Source organism: Homo sapiens, chromosome 1 (assembly GCF_000001405.40).
Source record: "Homo sapiens chromosome 1, GRCh38.p14 Primary Assembly".
NCBI lineage: Eukaryota > Metazoa > Chordata > Mammalia > Primates > Hominidae > Homo > Homo sapiens.
The window spans coordinates 16,967,245-16,984,388 of record NC_000001.11 but is presented as its reverse complement, the minus strand read 5'-3'; the positions used below and the strand labels follow the sequence as shown (position 1 = coordinate 16,984,388).

The window sequence follows — 17,144 nt, the reverse complement described above, 5'->3', positions numbered from 1 at the left end:
AGGACATGGGAGCCAGGACACGAATTGTCAGCTTTAGCCCCTCAGTTTCCCAGTTTTTCTTTTCTTTTCTTTTTTTTTTTTCAGACAGGGTCTTGCTCTGTTGCCCAGGCTGGAGTGCAGTGGTGCAATCGTGGCTCACTGCAGCCTCTACCTCCCCAGGCTCAGGTGATCCTCCTACCTCAACCTCCTGAGTAGCTGGGACTATAGGCCAGCACCACCACACCCAGCTAATTTTTGTATTTTTTGTAGAGATGGGGTTTTGCCATGCTGTCCAGGCTGGTCTCAAACCCCTGGGCTCAAGCGGTCCACCCGCCTTGGTCTCCTAAACTGCTGAGATTACAGGTGTGAGCCACTGCACCCAACCTCCCTCCTTTTTTCAAGGGTAGGGGACAGCATTTCTGCTGGGTGAGTTCCTCTCTTTTGCCAGTGGGATTGCTCCTGGCAGCAGTGGGGTCTAAGGGCAGGCAGAGAGGGCTGGGCTGGCCTGGCCTGAGGGCCCACCTCTCTCCAGGTGACAAAAGTCTCTGCTGCCCTGCAATAGACACTGGGGGGCGGGGCATGGGAATGAAGGAGGCACAGGGCATATTTACTCCCTCCCTAAGACTCAGAGTCTAAGGGAGGTGGGGGAATGACTGGCGATGAAGAGATCAGATGGCAAGGGTCTAAATCAGGGGCCATCCTCATCTCCTCCCAGCCCGCAGCCCCTACAACTCTCACTCCCGCCTCAGGCCTAGGCTCCTGGGCAGGGCTGAAGGCTGCCCCTCACGCAGAGGATCTGCACCCCCAGCCAGCTTCTCCGGGAAGAGTTTAGTGTACAGTTCACTCATTCATTCCACCAATGTTTGCTGAACTGCTGCTCTGAGCCGGGCTCTGAACTTAATGAGCAAAACTGAAGATGAGCAAAAACAGCCTTGGTCCTGGCCTTCACGGGGCAAGATGACAGTCTCATCGGGAAGAGGGACAGGGCTCAGATGGTCACAGACATAGGCCAACAAGACAACTGCAAGCAGTAAAGCTAGAAAGCACAAAAAAAGGAAAAAGGGAAGGCCCCTCTGAGGAAGGGAGGGTTTGATCTGTGACCCCATGGAGGAGACCTCAGCCAGTGCTCGGGAGGAAGAAACGCCTCAGTGTGGGAGGGAGAGGGGTTTGGGAGAAAACCCCCAAAGGCCAGTGGCTGGAGGAGGAAGAGGAGGCAGAGCCAGGCTGCCATAAAGGGCCGGGGCCCTGGAAGCCACAGGGAAGTTGAGCCTCTAACCTGAGTGAAAGGCGATCAGTAGAAGGGGCACGATCTGCGGGGGTGAGGGAGGCAGGACCCACGTGGGAGAGCCCAGAGTGGAGGCTATCGCAGAGCCCAGGCAAATGATGGTGGTGTCAACTAAATAAGAAATCAGCCTTTTGACCAGGTGCAGTGGCTCACGCCTGTAATTCCAGCACTTTGGGAGGCCAAGGTGGGTGGATCAGCTGAGGTCAGGAGTACGAGACGAGCCTGGACAACATGGAGAAGCCTCGTCTCTACGAGAAATAAAAAAAAAAAAAAAAATAGCCAGGCATGGTGGTGGGTGCCTGTAGTCCCCACTACTCTGGAGGCTGAGGCATGAGAATCGCTTGAACCCAGGAGGCAGAGGTTGCAGTGAGTTGAGGATGCACCACTGCACTCCAGCCTGGGAGATAGCAAGACCCTGTCTCAAAAAAAAAGAAAAAGAAAAAATCCACCTTTTGGCCAGGCACAGTGGCTCATGCCTATAATCCCAGCACTTTGGGAACCCAAGGCAGGCGGATCAGCTAAGGTCAGGAGCCTGGCCAACATGGTGAAACCCTGTCTCTACTCAAAAAAAAAAAGCAAAAATTAGCCTGGCATGCTGGCATGTGCCTGTAATCCCAGCTACCCGAGAGGCTGGGTTGGGAGAACCTCTTGAACCCGGGAGGTGGAGGTTACAGGGAGCCGAGGTCACACCACTGCACTCCAGCCTGGGCAACAGAGTTAAACTCCATTTCAAAAAAAAAAAAAAAATCAGCCATTGAAAAAATTAAAGTTAGTTTTATTGAGTCTTACTGAGGACTGCACCCTGGGAGAGGGTTTCAGAGAGTTTCTGTTAGACTGCGCCAAAGCAGCATTTCAGCCCACAGTTTAGATACAGAGGCAGGCGGTTCTGTGTGTGCTCAGAAGCTATGGTCAGGCACGGTGGCTCACGTCCGTAATCCCAGCACTTTTGGAGGCTGAGGCGGGTGGATTGCTTGAGCTCAGGAGTTTGAGACCAGACTGGGCAAACACGGCAAAACCCCTTCTCTACAAAAAATACAAAAAAAAAAAAAAAAAAAAAAAATTAGCCAGGCATGGCGGCTCTTGCCTGTAGTCCCAGCTACTTGGGAGGCTGAGGTGGAAGGATCACTTGAGCCCAAGAGGTGAGCTGTGATGGTGCCACTGCACTCCAGCCTGGATGACAGAGCGAGACCCGGTCTCATTAAAAAAAGAAGAAGAAAAATTTACATCAAATGTCTTCAGAAGCTACACTAGTGCAAATCTCGCCAAGGTTTGGGTTCGAGGATGCACCTAGTTATATAGATTATAGAGGCATAATCGTCAATCCTGTCAGGTGCTATCTTATGTACAGGAAAAGGCACAGCCAGGATCATTTAACTTATATTTTCTAACAATGCAGTGATTCAGGCAAGAGGCGTGGGAGCCTGTGTTCTGCCCTGCCTGCCATCTTCAAGGCATCCTTCCGTTGGGCTGCCCCCAGTCACTGAGTCAGGGCTTTGTCAGCTTCTGACAAGCAGAAAGAGCAAATGCGGTTTCTTGGGATTGCAACTTGGTCTCACAGTGGCTTAGGCCAGGGTGGGAGCAGTGAACGGAGTCACAAAAGAAATTTTTCAGGTAGCATTCACGGGTGGGTGCTGGATTAGATGCAGGGCTAAGGGCAGGGGAGGAAGCCTGGGTAATGGAAGGCTGCGGGGCCAAGGGGGGACTGGGAATCCTGGAGGGCCAGGTCTGGGGGAGAGTTAGGAGGTCGTGAATTTGGACTTGGATGCTTGTTGAAGCTGATGCATCTTGAGGACATTTGTGGGACACATAGGCTGGGTCAGGGCTGAAAGAGGTGCTGGTTATGGCCGGGGGCAGGGACTCATGCCTGTAATCCCAACAGCCCAGGAGGATGAGACAGGAGGAATGCTTGAGGCCAAAATTTCGAGGCCGGAAGTTCCAGACGAGCCTGGGCAACACAGCAAGACCCTGTCTCTAGAAAAGGAAAGAAAGAACCGCTGGTTGTGGAAGCCAGCCATGGCCCAGAGCTCAGCAGTGTAGGAGAGGAGGGTGCGGGCCTGAGAGAGGCAGCAGGCTTGGCTGGAGAGGCAGAAGGAAAACCAAGGCAGGAGAGTGTCCTGGAAGCTGGGAGAAGGCAGAGGGAGATCGAGGCTTACTTTCTGGCTGAGGGGCCTAGGGTGAGTCACTTTGGGAGGCTTGATTTCCTCCTCTGTGAAATGGGCAACACACCTACCCTTGCCCACCTCACCCCCCTCACCCCGTCGACGTCGAGTGAGGAGCAGCTGTGAGGAGGAGGAAGCTTTGCACAGACGTGAGGACGGCCCCGGGCGCCTCTACCCCGGGGACACCCCCCCCCCCAGGAGATGGAACCCCGAGGGCACGGCGTGGCGGCCCATGCGGGCAGCTCGCGTTAGGACCCAGCGGCTCCGGGGCTGGAGGGCGGGCGCCAGCCCCGTCGGGGGCCCGGAGGGGGACTCGGAGCGGGCCAAGGGGCGGCTCCGGCGGGCGGACTCGGAGCGGGCGGCGGAGTGACCCGGACAGGTAGGCGCGGGCCTGGCGCTTGGGGGCCCCGGGGGGCGGTCAGGGGCGTCGGCGGGTCCCCCGGCGCGGGGGCGAGGGTGCCAGGCTCTCTGGGTCCTCGATCCTGGGGCAGCCGCGGAGGTTCCTGAACCCCGCGCCTTCAGAGCGGAGGCCAAGGGGGCACCTGGAAAGTTTGGGGTTGCTCTGCAGAGAGAACGCGAATTGGGAAGGGCGGGGAGCCCGAGTTTGGGGGGAGCCAGAGGTGAGGTCGTCGGGGGATGGGACATCTTTTGTTCTCCCGGGGAGGTTGGAATGTGGCGGGTGGGGTGGGGGGGGGGGGTCCGGTGGGAATGGCCGAGACAGAGACGCAGAGAGACAAAGAGAGATCAGAGACGGGAGCGCGAGGGCGCGCGGAGCAAGTTTCCGCGGCTGATTGTTCCCAGCTGTGCGGCGCTGCAACATCTGGGTTTCTCCCGCCGGGACCCCTCCCCCTGAGCCCGGCTCTGGAGCCGGCAGAGCCCTCCCTCCGTCTGATGTCTGAGCGAGCGTCGGGGCCCCCTGTCCCCCACCTCCCAGGACGCAGGGGAGTCGGGGGTGGGGGAGGCCGCAGCTGTGGAAGAGGCCAGAGGTGGGGGTGGGGCAGCCTCCCAGGCAGGTCCTGGCCTCCCGCACGCCCCAAAACCCCTTCGTCTAGAAGAGCTCGGAGATGTGGTCCCGTGGGAGGAGTTCATGAACTCCACACTGACTTCTCTCTTTCCTGCCTCCCCGCTAGCCCGTGGGCCTCCTTCCCCCAATAAGCCTGGGTTCGGGGGCCAGTCCTAGGGGAGGAAGACTCCCCGCAGGGTACCGACAGGCATCCCCCAACACCTTGCAACCCCTCTTGCCCCAATTCAGCGCCTTCTGCTGAGCAGCGGGGGCTCCGACCGACCTGACGGATGGGGAGAAGGGCAAGGAAGGCTCTCTGGGTCTTTTCATCCCCCTCCCATGAGGAGGTCAAGGGTTTTCAGAATGGGGTGTGGGGAGCCAGCTATCCCTCGCCTCTGGGGCAGCTTGGTCCTGAGCTTCGTCTCCCGGCTCCCACTCCACCTTAGTGAGGTGCCTAATGCATGAGAGGAGCCAGGGGGTCAGGAGGCCTCAGGATTGAGAGGAAGGAGGGAAAGACCTCCTGCTTTCTCCCCTTTCCCTCCCCTCTCCCTGGACTCCCAGTGGGGAAAATAGACCAAAGTTGGGGTTTCCAGCTAGCTCTCTGAAAGGACTTCCTGGGTTGCAGCCGGGAGGGGCCCTCCTGGATGGACCCCGCCCTCGCAGCCCTCCCTACAGAAGGCTGACGGACCTGAGGTGGCCCTCCACTGAGCTGGGGCTGGATGTGGGGAACCGGAGGCTCCCCCAAGTCCCACCGTGTAGCCAGGACTGGAGGCTGGGCTCTTGAATGTCAGGAGCCTGATGAAAGCCACGGACCCCATGCCCTCTCCCTCCAAATGACACACACACTTGCCTACAGTGTCAGGGGGTGCAGAACCCCCAGCCTGGGTGATGTCACGGCCCCTTCAGTGCTGCCTTTCTGGGATCCAGAGGAGCCCCCTCAGGCTTCACTCTCGTGCTTCCTGCTGCTGCAAATAGCCCGGGTCTCGTGAGCCTGTGATGCACACAGCCAGGTCTTGCGAGGCCTGGAGGCCTGGCAGGAGAGGAGTCTTCTGGGAGCTGGGAGCCCTGCCCGGCCTGGCCGCTCTGGGGGCCGGGCAGGCCCATGTGTATGTGGTTTCCTGCTGAGCAGGATGCTTAGGGCCCAGGGGCTAATTGGGAGCAGGTGGTGGCTTGGCAGAAGCTGCTGAGTCCAGGCGGTGATGCCGGCTGGCCAGGGCTGGGGTCCCAAGGATGGGCCTGGGTTCAGTGATTCACGCAGTCAGTGCCTTGGACACCCAGGGAGCCACTGGGCCAGAGGGCTGAGCACGGGTGTGGGTGAGGACAGAATGGCCTGGGCTGGGAGCACATTAGGAATGTCCCCTTAGTGAGCAGGGCAGGGTCCGCCCTTCCCTGACCACATCAAGTACACCCACTACACGGGGTTTGCTTGTCAGGATCAGCCCTGGAGCTGGGTTGGAGGCCTTGTCCCTTGTGACCTGAACACCTGGGTGGGCCAGCAGGGACTGGGATGTCCCTCCACTCCAGCCCTCCCATGCCTGGCTTCTATTCTGGGTGCCACCTTCTCCAGGGCGAAATCAGGGGATCAAAGGTGAGCTCTGCTGTCCTGGGTGTGGCCCTGGGTAGAGCTCTCCCACCGGTCTTTCCCCAGCTGTCCTCTCTGACACCACCCCGGCCTGCCTCTTTGTTGCCATGAGAGCTGCCTACCTCTTCCTGCTATTCCTGCCTGGTAAGTGGCTCCTGGGGCAGGGGGTAGCTCCTCTTATGTGGGGCTGAGGAGTAGGGTTAGTAGGGGGAATTCATAGTGAGCCTTTGTCACGACTTATGACCAGAACTCAGCTCCCCAGCTCCCAGGGCCTTCTGCCTGCTTGGACCACAGACTGGACCAGCCAACCCTGGCAGCATCTGGAGGCAGCTCCTGGCCCTTCCCCCAGCCTTCCACAGCAGCAGGCAGGCAGGGTTCTGGAGGGCACGTCCCAGGCACAAGGACTCCGTGGGCACAAGGCACAAGGCCTCTCTGGGAGCCGATGTGCAGGTGCAGGGGCACCCAAGGCAGGGAGTCCGGATGCTTGAGTTCTAGATCCATTCAGGGCCCTTCTGCTCTATACAGTCCTGACCTTGTGGGGGTCCCTACTGGCCAAATGAAGAGAATCAATGAGGACCACAAAAGTCCTAGCAGGGCCAACATTCATTCATTCAGCAGCGATGTGTTGAGTCCCTACCACGTGCCAAGTGCTGGGCTAGGCCCTGGGGATTCAGCGATGAACCAGGCAGACACATCGTTGCTCCTCATCATGCTGCCAGTCCAGGGAAGGGAGACAAATAGGAAACAAGCAGACATGAGAAACTCCAGCATGTGCTGAGTGCTGGACAGAAATCAGCAGGAGGGCTGGTGGGCTGGAGGTGGGGCGGCATCTTGGCACAGCTGAAATTCCAGGGAAGACCTGAAGGAGCTGAGCAGGCCTCACAGGCCCAGGGAGTGTCAGGTGCAAAGGCTCTGAGGGAGGCAGGAGCATGTGGAGTCCTAGGAGCAGCCAGGAGGCCAGCAACAGGAAGGGGCAGGGTAAGGTCAGGGAGGTGACCCATGACCAGGGTGGGGAAGGGTCTTTACCATCGAAGAAGAGTCTGGATCCTCTAGGAATCTGCTTGTGGGGTCCTAGGCTCTTATGGGCCTGACCTTGTGACCCCCGCCTCCACTCTCCAGAAGCGCCTCGGGCCCCCGTTGCCCCTCCCGATGGGGTACCCTACATGCTTTGCCTCCCCACAGCAGGCTTGCTGGCTCAGGGCCAGTATGACCTGGACCCGCTGCCGCCGTTCCCTGACCACGTCCAGTACACCCACTATAGCGACCAGATCGGTAAGGGCCTTGCCGGGTCACCGAGGCCTGGCTGCTCAGATGTGCCTGGCTCAGCCAGGGACCGCACTGGACACGCTGATGGGAACTCTGGGGGTTGGTCCCTGGCTCAGGAGGGAACTTGTTTGCCCCAGGGGCTGGGGGATTAGCCTTACTCCCACCAATTCCACTTTCATCTTTGTTTGCAGACAACCCAGACTACTATGATTATCAAGGTAACGGGCTAGGGGTAGGATAGGACGGGCCGGCAGCTGGGGTGGGGAGACCCCCTGGGAGGGGTAGAGGGAGCAGACCCCCTTATCCTCCCCTGGCTGCAGAGGTGACTCCTCGGCCCTCCGAGGAACAGTTCCAGTTCCAGTCCCAGCAGCAAGTCCAACAGGAAGTCATCCCAGCCCCAACCCCAGGTAGGCCCCAGACCCTGCTCCCACCCGTCTCAGCTCCTGCCTCACCCCTCCCCACCCTGTCAACCCTGGGAGTGGGGGTCTGCCAGGGCTGGGAGAGGTGACTCCCCTTGCCCTGAGGAGACCCCTCCCAGTGATGTCTGCCTACCTCTGTCTCCACACCAGAACCAGGAAATGCAGAGCTGGAGCCCACAGAGCCTGGGCCTCTTGGTAAGGGCTTTCTTGACAGCTGGAAAAATGGAGGCACGCCCTGAAGTTGGGGTGGAGTAGGGGGTGGTGCTGGTGGGCTGGAGGTCTTTGGCCCTTGCCCATGTGGGCTCTTGGCAGTGTGGGCAGTATGACTGCCGTAGGCTGGCATCACCAGGCCCCCCAGGCAGCTCCAGGAGGTCCCACCTGTCCCCAGTGTGCCTGGCTGGAGGCTAAATTGGCAGCCTAGGAAGGCCCCTGACCTCACAGATACTGGGAGGGGCAGGGAGTGTGCTGGGGGCTTCCTGCCAGCCAGAGAGACTGAGTGGTGCACATGTGGAGGCGAGGAAGGGCCAGGGAGTGCAGGCTGGCTGAGCGGTGCCCTCCGGCTGCCCTAGCTGAGAGCTTGAAAGAACAAGGTGTGTGTGTGCAGGAGAATCCGTGTGCTCACTCTCGTGTGGGTTGGTGTGAGCGCTCCTATGTGGGCTTCTGTGAGCGTGGGCACGTCTGCTCGGGAGTTGGTATGGGCTTTTGTGGCGATGCATGGGTGGGTGCAAATTTCTGTTTGAACTTAGGCTTCTATAGTAAGTGCGGTTGTGAATTGATACGTGAATATTACAGCCCTGGGAAGTCTGACAATGCTGCGTGGGTCTATGTGGGCATGTGTAGGTATGGGTGTCTGCACGGGGCCTGAAGGTACAGGGGGGACTAGGCCCTGTGAGCCAGCCTCAGGTGGGTGAGGCTGGGGGCCGCCCCCCACTCTGGGCTCCTAGTCTGACCCCACCTGTCACCAGACTGCCGTGAGGAACAGTACCCGTGCACCCGCCTCTACTCCATACACAGGCCTTGCAAACAGTGTCTCAACGAGGTCTGCTTCTACAGGTGAGCACAGATGGGCAGCTGTCGGGAGGATTCCGGAGCATGGGGGGCTAGAGGGCACAGGGGACAGCTCTGGCCCGCCAAGGTGGGAGTTGGAGGAAAGATAGTGAGTCCTTAAGTTGAGCTCAGTTCTGTGGTTGAGCCTGGGCCAGGGACCTCCTCCACTCCTGGGCTCCAGTGCCAGGTTCTGTCCGGGCTCCCGTGCCAGGTTCTGTCCGGGCTCCCGTGCCAGGTTCTGTCTGGGCTATCCCAGTGGGATTGGGTGGAAGTGGGGCTGAGACCTCCCGTGCCCTGTCCCCGCAGCCTCCGCCGTGTGTACGTCATTAACAAGGAGATCTGTGTTCGTACAGTGTGTGCCCATGAGGAGCTCCTCCGAGGTAGGAAGGCCACCTCCCCAAGACCTCCCCTGTCCCCACACCCGCATCATTATCTGGCCACCTAGCCACCCACCTGATGTTTATTCAACACATATTATCCACCAGGCCCACTTCCAGGACACCCTGAGCTCCCCTCCTTGCTACTTTTCATCCTCAAAACACTCCCATCACCAGAGTTGGGGGAGGGGCAGCGGTTCCCATCACCCAGCTCCACCCTGACCCTGCCTCCTTCCTGCCCCCAATAGCTGACCTCTGTCGGGACAAGTTCTCCAAATGTGGCGTGATGGCCAGCAGCGGCCTGTGCCAATCCGTGGCGGCCTCCTGTGCCAGGAGCTGTGGGAGCTGCTAGGGTGGTGCTGGCATCCTGAGTCCTGGCCCTCCTGGGATCTGGGGCCCTCGGGCCCTGCCTGACCTGGTGCTTTTTTCCCCATCCCCATGTTCCTTTTATTCTGTAAAAAGTTAGTGGACTGCAGCCCTGGGGGTTGCAGGCTGCGGTGCCTCAGGCCCCTCCTTCAGCCTGTGGCCACCTCTGGGGCACAATGGGGGCTCCCCACTGCCCAGTCTGCCCCTCGGGTTGGGGGAGTATCCCAGGCCTCTCTGTGGGACCTGGGCCCCTGACGGGCCTTCTCAGCCCGTTTTGAGGACAGACAGTCCCCCGAGGTAGGCTACATCCCCCCACCCCAGCTGGTCTGCTTGGATTTCCTACAGCCCCCGTGGGCATGGACCACCTTTATTTTATACAAAATTAAAAACAAGTTTTTACAAAAGATCAAGTCACTTTTTCGGTGGAGAGCACAGAGGGGCCAGCCAAGTGCCCCCAACGCGGACTGTCCTGAGAGGCTCCTGACCCCTTGGAGTGAACGATCTGCTCAGGTGCCCTGTGCTTCCGCAGTCCCAGCCCCACCGCCTTACCCGCCGGCTCCAGCTCTGCCCTGCCCAGAACGCTGCGTCATGACAGTGTACGCGCGCATGCGTGTTGTGGGAATTGCACGGGAGATGGAAGGCTTCAGGGACACAGCTTTCTGATGACCGGGGCTGCTTGGTGAGCACATTGAGTTCCCATCACCAGAGGAACACAGCAAAAATGGGAGGCCGCCCATGGGGTGGGGGGGGCACAGGGTCAAGGCAGGCGGACTGACATCCAAGGCCTTTGTTTGGGAAGTTGGGGAGATGGGTGCCATTAAGAGGGCAAAAAAAGCGGGGCACAGGGACTCACACCTATAATTCCAGCACTTAGGGAGGCTGAGGCGGGCGGATCACTTGAGGCCAGGAGTTCGAGACCAGCCTGGCCATGGCGAAATCCCGTCTCTAGTAAAAATACAAAAAAAAATTAGCCAGGCGTGGTGGCGTGTGCCTGTAATTCCAGCTACTCAGGAGGCCGAGGCACAAGAATTGCTTCAATCTGGGAGGCGGAGGTTGCAGTGAGCCGAGATCGCGCCACTGCACTCCAGCCTGGGCGACAGAGCAAGACTGTGTCTCAAAAAAAAAAGGGCAAAAACAAGCAAGCCATTGTAACACCTCCCTCCAACCAGCATGTGGGGCCTGGGCTCTGTGTGTGAAGGCTCACACACTCCTGTTTAGCCGTCCGAACAGGCATATGTGGTGGATGCAATTCATATCCCCTTCTTAGAGACAGGAAAACTGAGCCCAGAGACGTTAAGTAACCCACCCAAGGGTCCCACCCACGGGTCCACAGCTATCAGTGGCAGTGCTGTGGCTGAATCGGTCAGCTGGACTCCAGCAGGTGAGGATGAGTGTTAATTTCTCCTTCGGACACTGATTGAGCACCTCCTATGTGAACTTCCCCAGAGCCACCCTATGCGGTTAGGTTCCCATTTTACAGATGAGCAAACTGAGGCTCTAAGAGGTTAAGCAGCTTTGCTCAGGATCACTCAGCGGTGCCAGGGCAAGACCCCACGTTCACATCCAAACCTGCACTTGTTTGCCATGCTGCCTGGAAGGCCTGTCACTGTCCCGAGGGTGGGCTTGGATCTAAGGAGGGGCCAGAGAAAGGGGCAAGAAAGCATAGGCTGGAAGGAGTCGAGGTGCACAGGCTGGGCCCAGTCCCAGGCCTCAACAGCCCCATCTGTTCCATGGGCCGGGTGACCGAGTACCCCAGAGGCCTCCCCATCTGACATTCTGTGAGGCTGGTAAGTTCCCTTCCCAATACCGGCCTCTCTGCTCTCCCTGCCGCCTCCCCAAGCACCCCTCCCTAGAGGGCCCCATCCCTCTTGCCCCAGACCCTACCTGTCTCCCCCCGACGTCTCCTCCAATTGTCTAGAAAAGGGACACAGCTGTACAAACTTTTTTAAAAACAAGGTTTTGTTACAAAAAACAGTTCTGAACAGTTAACATTGTAAAAAGGTATAAAAATACAGGGACTCTGAGCACTCTGAGGAATTTCCCGACACATGCTCTTAACTAAGGCGGAGAGATCTCTGGGAAGCCGAAGTCAGGGCCTGGGCCTCTGACCCCTGCCCTGGGCCTGGTCCCCCTCCTCTTTCCCACGATCCCATGCTCCAGGGCTGACCAGAGACAAGGGCTCTCCCCAATCCTGGCTACGGCTCAGCCTCTCAAGGAGGAACTTTAATGATCTACAGTGGCTCATCCTAGAAGAGGGGGGCTGGACTGCAGGTGTTGCTGGGAAGCCTCTCCAGGCCTGGAGCTGGAGTACCCGTCCTCAGCACTGCCAGCAGAGCGCCTCCTCATCCCACCCCAGCTTGAGGCCCCCAAGGGACCGGGCTCTGGGTGGGGGGGCTGTCCAAAAGAAGGGTCCTCCCCTGTCCCAGGCACAGGGGTGTTCTCCAGATGCCAGCAGGAGCTCATTTCTCTGGGGGGCCGGAGGGTGGGGAGAAGGGTGCTGAGCTCCTTCGAAGCTCCTGCTGCAGCTGGCCCTTCAGTGTGGACACCTGGGGAAGAAAGGGAAGGTAAGGCCAGCCAGGTCCTCAGCCTGGCTTCAGAGAAAGGGAGGCAGCAGGGAACCCGGAGGGACACAGTGCCACAGTTTCAGGAAAGGTCTGGTCTCACTGAGAGCCAGGGGCTGTCCTGCCTTTCTCATTTTGTTCCTTATAGCAGAGTCAGGCGTCTTCTGACTGTTGGGCACCTTTGAGGGCAACTCCACCCCCATTCTTTATCCCCATCATCACTTGGGTGGGCGTGGCTTCAGCCCAGACCCAAGGGGTGGACATGTGACCCAGCCCGGCCTAGCAGAGAAGCCTTGCCCGGCCGACAAGGCTGGCTCAGGCATGGTCAGGAAGGGGTATGTGATCTGAGCGGGCCAGTGAGGGACAGCCTTAGGACTTCTGCCCCTGCTCTCTTCTGAGATGACAGATTGCTGGGAGAACCTGAGGCTGGAGCTGCTGAGGCCACCTGGCCACCCAGGGAGAAGGCTACCCTGAGCATGGAGCCAGGGGGAACAGAGCCATGGCAGGAGGCCTGGGGCCCAGGAGCATCCCGTGGCCCCGGTCTGGTCTTGGCTGACACCAGCGCAGAGCCAACCCCACCCTTTTCGGTTACGGGAGCCATCGACTGCCTATACCCACAAGGTCTTGATTGGGTCTCTCCTCTTTCTGCAGCCCCACACATCCATCCTGGCCCAGCCTTCTAAGGGGGCCTGCACACCTGCTCCTCCAGCCCACGCACCCTCTGGCGGTGGGCCCGCTCCCGAGCCTCCAGGGTGCGCTCAGTCTGCGCCTGGGCGCTGCGCAGCCGCTCCACCTCCTGCTGCAGCTCCAGCTGCTGCTGCTGCGCATCCACCTCCAGCTGGGCCGGGCTGTGGCTCTGCTCCAGCACCACCACCTGCGCCTGCAGGGAGGGGCTGTGGTCCGCGTTCTGGCCCAGTGTGAGTGTGTGTGTGCATGTGTGACGGGTTGTCAGGTACCTCCCTGGGACACGGCCAGTGCAGAGGGGGAAGGCAGGAGAGATCCTTGTGTGTCTTCCATCCTGCTGGCCCTGACAGTGAGCCTGCGAGCCCAGGATGAGTGCACCCAATGACCCCCACTCAGGCAGGTGCATGGACACACACACACACACACACACACACACACACACACACACACTCAGACATCATACACACAGGCACAAAGGCAAGCATGTAAATACCTATCTGGACTCACACAGGTGCATGTGTATGTGCAAAGGCCCAACTCCCCCATGCATGAAAACATCTGTACACAAACACATATTCATAATACCTAGACACGCCACACCATGCACAAGATTCATGCTCCATACACAAGAATCGTCACATGGATTCTCACACTGCTGCATGGCCACAACGTACATGAACCCACAGGCTCACGTGCAAACAGGCCTTTCGTGTCTTTTCTGTACACCTTAGGGAGAACCCATCCCTCCATGGCCCGCTGGGTCACTGGAAGGCTCAGGGCTCCTGGGGGAGGGGGTTATGGGCCCTGGGCTGGCTGGGCCATCAGCTCCACTGGAATTGCTGAGCACTCATACTAGGGATGAAGTTGGGGTCCCGGACTGGGTGGGGTCAGACCTCCAGCTGCTGGATCTGCCTCTGCGCCTCTGCCAGCTCCAGCTCAGCCCCCGTGAGGGTGCGGTCCAGGCGGCCCTTCTCTGCGCTCAGCCGCACTGTGTCCTCATGGCTACGAAGCTTCTCCCGCTCCACCTAGGCAGGAGAGCCACAGGAGATCAGGGTGCCAGGAGGAGCTTACTGAGGGGGCTCAGGTTCCTGAACCCTGATGGAATAACCTAACCCCACCAGAGGTAGCAGACCCTGGGGATGTGCAGTGGGATCCACCACGGTTAGGCCCCAGAGGAAGTGAGGGGAGAGCCTGGGGAGCAGCCTACCTTGTCCAGCGTCCTCCTGAGGGCTACACGGTCCTTCTCCAGCCGCAGGGCTGAGCGCTCCACCTCCCGCTTCTCAGCTTCCAGCTGAGCCAGGGCGCGCTGCAGGCTTCCCAGGCGCTCCTGCAGCAGCCGCCGCTCGTCTTGCAGCTTCTGGACGGTGTTCAGGGCTGCAGCCTCACCCTCCTGCCGCTGCCGCAGCACCTGCAACAGAAGCCAGGCAGGCCCCGAATCCCTCTGGGCCTGAGCATACTTATCTGAAGCTTGGGGACAATGAGGCTGGCCCACTCACAGAGCAGGCGACGGTGAGGCCCACATCAGAGAATTGTCACCTGAAGCCAAACCTGTCTCTCTCAGTCTGTTTCTCCATCTGTATAACAGGACTATGCTCTGAATGAACCATGTTTCCTTACTGGAGGCTGCACCAGGGTTTGGGATGAGGTTGAGATGGGTGGGAACGTCCCCACCCTATCCTAGGGCCTCACAGTCTTGGGGACAGAGGGGGCACACCCTGGCCCTCACCTCCCGTAGCTGTTGTAGCTGGCCCTCGGCCTCCACCCGCTGCAGTTCCAGGTCAGCCACCTCGCCTCGCAACGTCTGCACCTGCTCGCCCAGGGAGCTGCTCTGCTTCCGTGCCTCAGATAATGCCTGCCGGGCGGCATCCAGCCGTTCCTGGGGGACAGGGGCTGATGGTGCCTGGCTGGCCTGGGAGCCCTAAGGAGTCCTCTCTATTCTGTACCTCTGGACAGGTCCACAGAGCATAAAACAGGCAGTCATCTCACCTGGAGGGTGGGGTGCACACCAAACCCATCCACGGCCTATCCACTGACCTGCATAAGGTGGGACCCACTCAGACCCCAACTCTCCCCAATAAACCCTGCCCCTGGGTCCCCCCAAGTCTATACCAGTAGCCTTGTCTTCTTACGGGACATACCCAGAGCCTCTTCTCCTTGGCTGATGGTCTACTGGGCCCACGCCCTCCCTTCAAAGCCTGCTCTCATTGGCTCCAACTGACTGCCCCATTGGCTGGCTCTCTACCAGGGCCCCCCTCCAAGCCTGCTCTTACTGGCTGACTCTCTCACTGGGCCCACCCCAGCCAGACCCTGGGCCCGAGACCTGGAGTACTTGGCGGTCATGTTCACAGGCGGTCAGAGCCTTCTGCAGATGCAGGTTCTTGTCCCGGGTGCTGTTGAGGCTGGCACTGCTCTGGGCCAGGGCCTCTGTCAGGCCCCGCACCTTGTCCCGCAGGGCCCCCTCGCTTTCCTCCACCTTAGCCAGGGCCCCATTCAGCCGCTCCACGGTCAGCTGCAGGGTCCCTGCCTTCACCTCGCTGTCGGCCACCTGGCAGGAGGACAGCCAGAACAATCGGGGCTGTTCCCATCTGGCCTCTATACCTCTGCTCCCACTGTGACCTCCACCTGGCATGCCCAATCCACACCCTTCCCACTTCTCTCTGGGCCTCCATCATTGAGACCCAGTGTTCCTAAGCACTCCTGCTGGCTCAGCCTACTGCCACCTGGGCCCCATCCCATTGCTGGCTAACTACTAGTGCCCAGAGTGCCATCAACCTAGTTGTCTCAGACTCCCTGGTCTCCTCCCTGTCCTCACTCCTCTCTCCTCTCTGCTGTGGAAGAGAAAGGGAAACCACCACGACCCTAAAATTTTTTTATTTTTGACCTTGTTGGGTGTTCAGGCAAGGCTAGCCGTATTATTTAACATTCCAGTTAGAGCTGAGCTTCCTAGCAGTCAAGGCAAAAAGGGAAATGAGTGAAACCTACATCTCTAACTTGTCCCAGATGACTCCTATGTATGCAGATGCTGTCATCAAATAGTCCTGAATTCTAATTTTGGCTCTGCCTCTTACTAGCTATGGGATCTTAGACAATGACATCACCTCTCAGCCTCCATTTGTCCATCTGTGAAATGGGGATGTGGGTAATACTTGCCTCACAGGGTTGTTGGGGGACTGCGTAGTGCCTACAAAGCTCTTGGCACAGGGCATGTGAACACTGTGGCTGTGATTTGGGGAGGGGCCCACCTGTCTCTGCAGGGAATCCACCCGATCCTGGAGGGCCTGGGCTTGGGCCTCGCGGTCACTGAGGCCCAGGCGGCTGCGCTGCAGCTCCCCCTCAAGCGAGCGCCGCTGCAGCTCCAGCTTGACAGTGCGGCTCTCGGAGGCGTCCAGAACCTCCTTCAGGCGCCGCTTGTCGCCCTCCAGCTTTGTCTCATTGGCCTTCATCTTGCTGATCTTCTCCTGCAGGTGGCATGGGGCTCAGGCCCAGACGTCCAGTGCACCCCGCAGCCCTCCCGCACACGCCCTGGGGCCCTTAGGGGGAAAGTGGGGAGCAGCCTCGAAGGGTGACCTACGTGACCTGGGGCCGGCCTGGGACCCTCTGGGGTCCTCGGTCTCCCCATGCGTTCCCAGGATGAGTGGACGTGAAGATCCCAGAGCCCACCTTCCAGTTTTAGCCCAGGCCAATGGGCTGTGGAACCCAGGACTGCCCCTTCGCGCCCTATGGCCCCATTTCATATCTGTACAGTAGGGACACTGGATTGGTCCCAGGGTACCACAACCTGGGTGCTCACAGGAGCCCTGAGGAGGGGCTGTAGAAATGCAGATTCCAAGGCCCTTCTCCTGCCCCACTGACTCGTGCAAACTGAGCTGAGCCGGACAGTTCTGAGGGGGCCCTGCTGTTCTAGGGTTTCAGGTGGTGATTCCCCCTCCCCTGCCCAGGGTCAGCCAGTGAAAAAGGCCTGGGGAGTGGGGATGGGACAGGAAGGCAGACTAGGGGTCCTCCCATCCCTGGTACTATCCTAGAGACAGGGTGGATCAACAGGGGGTGTTATTAGAGCCTCCCCAGCCCCTATCCTGAGCCTGGCCCCTCTGCCACCCTGCCCAGAGCCCCAGCCCTGCCCTGTCTGGGGCCCCCACTCTGGCTCCTGCCCAGCTTTGTTCCTGGCCTCCTCCTGCAGCCCCTGCGGCTGGGCCCATGGCCAGGGTTGAAGCCGCAGACACAACAATCCAGCTAAGCTCGGCCCCAGGCCAGAGGCCTTGGGGGCGGGGGTGGTGGGGGGAAGCAGTAATAGAGGGACAGGCTGGGGAGGGCAGAGGGGAGCTTTGGCTGCACTGTCACCACCAGGGCCTGAGTTTCCTGCCCGACAGACGCACATACACACTGGCACACATAGCTGTCCCCCAAACACACATAAAA

The 17,144-nt window shown here is 59.4% G+C and overlaps 2 protein-coding genes and 1 long non-coding RNA gene across 15 annotated transcripts in view, besides 5 other annotated features; 1 reads left to right on the top strand and 2 right to left on the bottom strand.

Annotated features, from left to right (window-relative positions):
* Positions 2,806-9,887, top strand: MFAP2 (microfibril associated protein 2). 5 transcript variants are annotated; one of them, NM_001135247.2, is made up of 9 exons: positions 2,806-2,875; positions 6,075-6,152; positions 7,194-7,280; positions 7,466-7,492; positions 7,595-7,681; positions 7,844-7,888; positions 8,659-8,746; positions 9,047-9,120; positions 9,366-9,887. In NM_001135247.2, exons 2-9 carry the CDS (start codon positions 6,116-6,118, stop codon positions 9,467-9,469), a joined length of 549 nt encoding a protein of 182 aa, NP_001128719.1. In that variant the 5' UTR covers positions 2,806-2,875; positions 6,075-6,115; the 3' UTR covers positions 9,470-9,887. The 5 variants fall into 5 exon arrangements, with proteins under 5 accessions (NP_001128719.1, NP_059453.1, XP_047276983.1 ...); NM_017459.3 differs by having other exon boundaries at positions 7,191-7,280; XM_047421027.1 differs by having other exon boundaries at positions 2,806-3,438; positions 7,191-7,280.
* Positions 4,488-4,993: an enhancer, noted in NCBI's record as "H3K4me1 hESC enhancer chr1:17305891-17306396 (GRCh37/hg19 assembly coordinates)". NCBI's record gives its function as "activates a minimal SCP1, AML or CMV promoter by ChIP-STARR-seq in naive H9 embryonic stem cells {active_cell/tissue: H9 hESC(naive)}" and the evidence as "EXISTENCE:reporter gene assay evidence [ECO:0000049][PMID:30033119]".
* Positions 4,994-5,501: an enhancer, noted in NCBI's record as "H3K4me1 hESC enhancer chr1:17305383-17305890 (GRCh37/hg19 assembly coordinates)". NCBI's record gives its function as "activates a minimal SCP1, AML or CMV promoter by ChIP-STARR-seq in naive H9 embryonic stem cells {active_cell/tissue: H9 hESC(naive)}" and the evidence as "EXISTENCE:reporter gene assay evidence [ECO:0000049][PMID:30033119]".
* Positions 5,502-6,007: an enhancer, noted in NCBI's record as "H3K4me1 hESC enhancer chr1:17304877-17305382 (GRCh37/hg19 assembly coordinates)". NCBI's record gives its function as "activates a minimal SCP1, AML or CMV promoter by ChIP-STARR-seq in primed H9 embryonic stem cells {active_cell/tissue: H9 hESC(primed)}" and the evidence as "EXISTENCE:reporter gene assay evidence [ECO:0000049][PMID:30033119]".
* On the bottom strand, positions 6,594-8,528 carry LOC105376806 (uncharacterized). The gene is made up of 2 exons (XR_947003.3): positions 7,827-8,528; positions 6,594-6,720 (listed from the first exon to the last, which is right to left on the bottom strand). It is a non-coding gene; the product is annotated as an uncharacterized LOC105376806 (long non-coding RNA).
* Positions 9,132-9,939: an enhancer, noted in NCBI's record as "H3K4me1 hESC enhancer chr1:17300945-17301752 (GRCh37/hg19 assembly coordinates)". NCBI's record gives its function as "activates a minimal SCP1, AML or CMV promoter by ChIP-STARR-seq in naive H9 embryonic stem cells {active_cell/tissue: H9 hESC(naive)}" and the evidence as "EXISTENCE:reporter gene assay evidence [ECO:0000049][PMID:30033119]".
* Positions 11,374-12,351: an enhancer, noted in NCBI's record as "H3K27ac-H3K4me1 hESC enhancer chr1:17298533-17299510 (GRCh37/hg19 assembly coordinates)". NCBI's record gives its function as "activates a minimal SCP1, AML or CMV promoter by ChIP-STARR-seq in naive H9 embryonic stem cells {active_cell/tissue: H9 hESC(naive)}" and the evidence as "EXISTENCE:reporter gene assay evidence [ECO:0000049][PMID:30033119]".
* The window catches only part of CROCC (ciliary rootlet coiled-coil, rootletin), a 58,880-nt gene continuing 53,160 nt past the window's right edge, over positions 11,425-17,144 (bottom strand). For 5 of the 9 annotated variants that reach the window (XM_047435134.1, XM_047435120.1, XM_006711058.4 and 2 more), the window contains 7 exons: positions 15,971-16,186; positions 15,049-15,273; positions 14,455-14,604; positions 13,936-14,136; positions 13,622-13,753; positions 12,742-12,924; positions 11,425-12,029 (listed from right to left, as the gene is read on the bottom strand). In XM_047435134.1, the coding sequence (XP_047291090.1) occupies positions 11,943-12,029; positions 12,742-12,924; positions 13,622-13,753; positions 13,936-14,136; positions 14,455-14,604; positions 15,049-15,273; positions 15,971-16,186 (1,194 nt within the window). In that variant the 3' untranslated portion in view covers positions 11,425-11,942. The remainder of the gene's footprint in view (positions 12,030-12,741; positions 12,925-13,621; positions 13,754-13,935; positions 14,137-14,454; positions 14,605-15,048; positions 15,274-15,970; positions 16,187-17,144) is intronic. The other 4 variants (XM_047435136.1, XM_047435115.1, XM_047435135.1 and 1 more) reach the window with 2 other exon arrangements.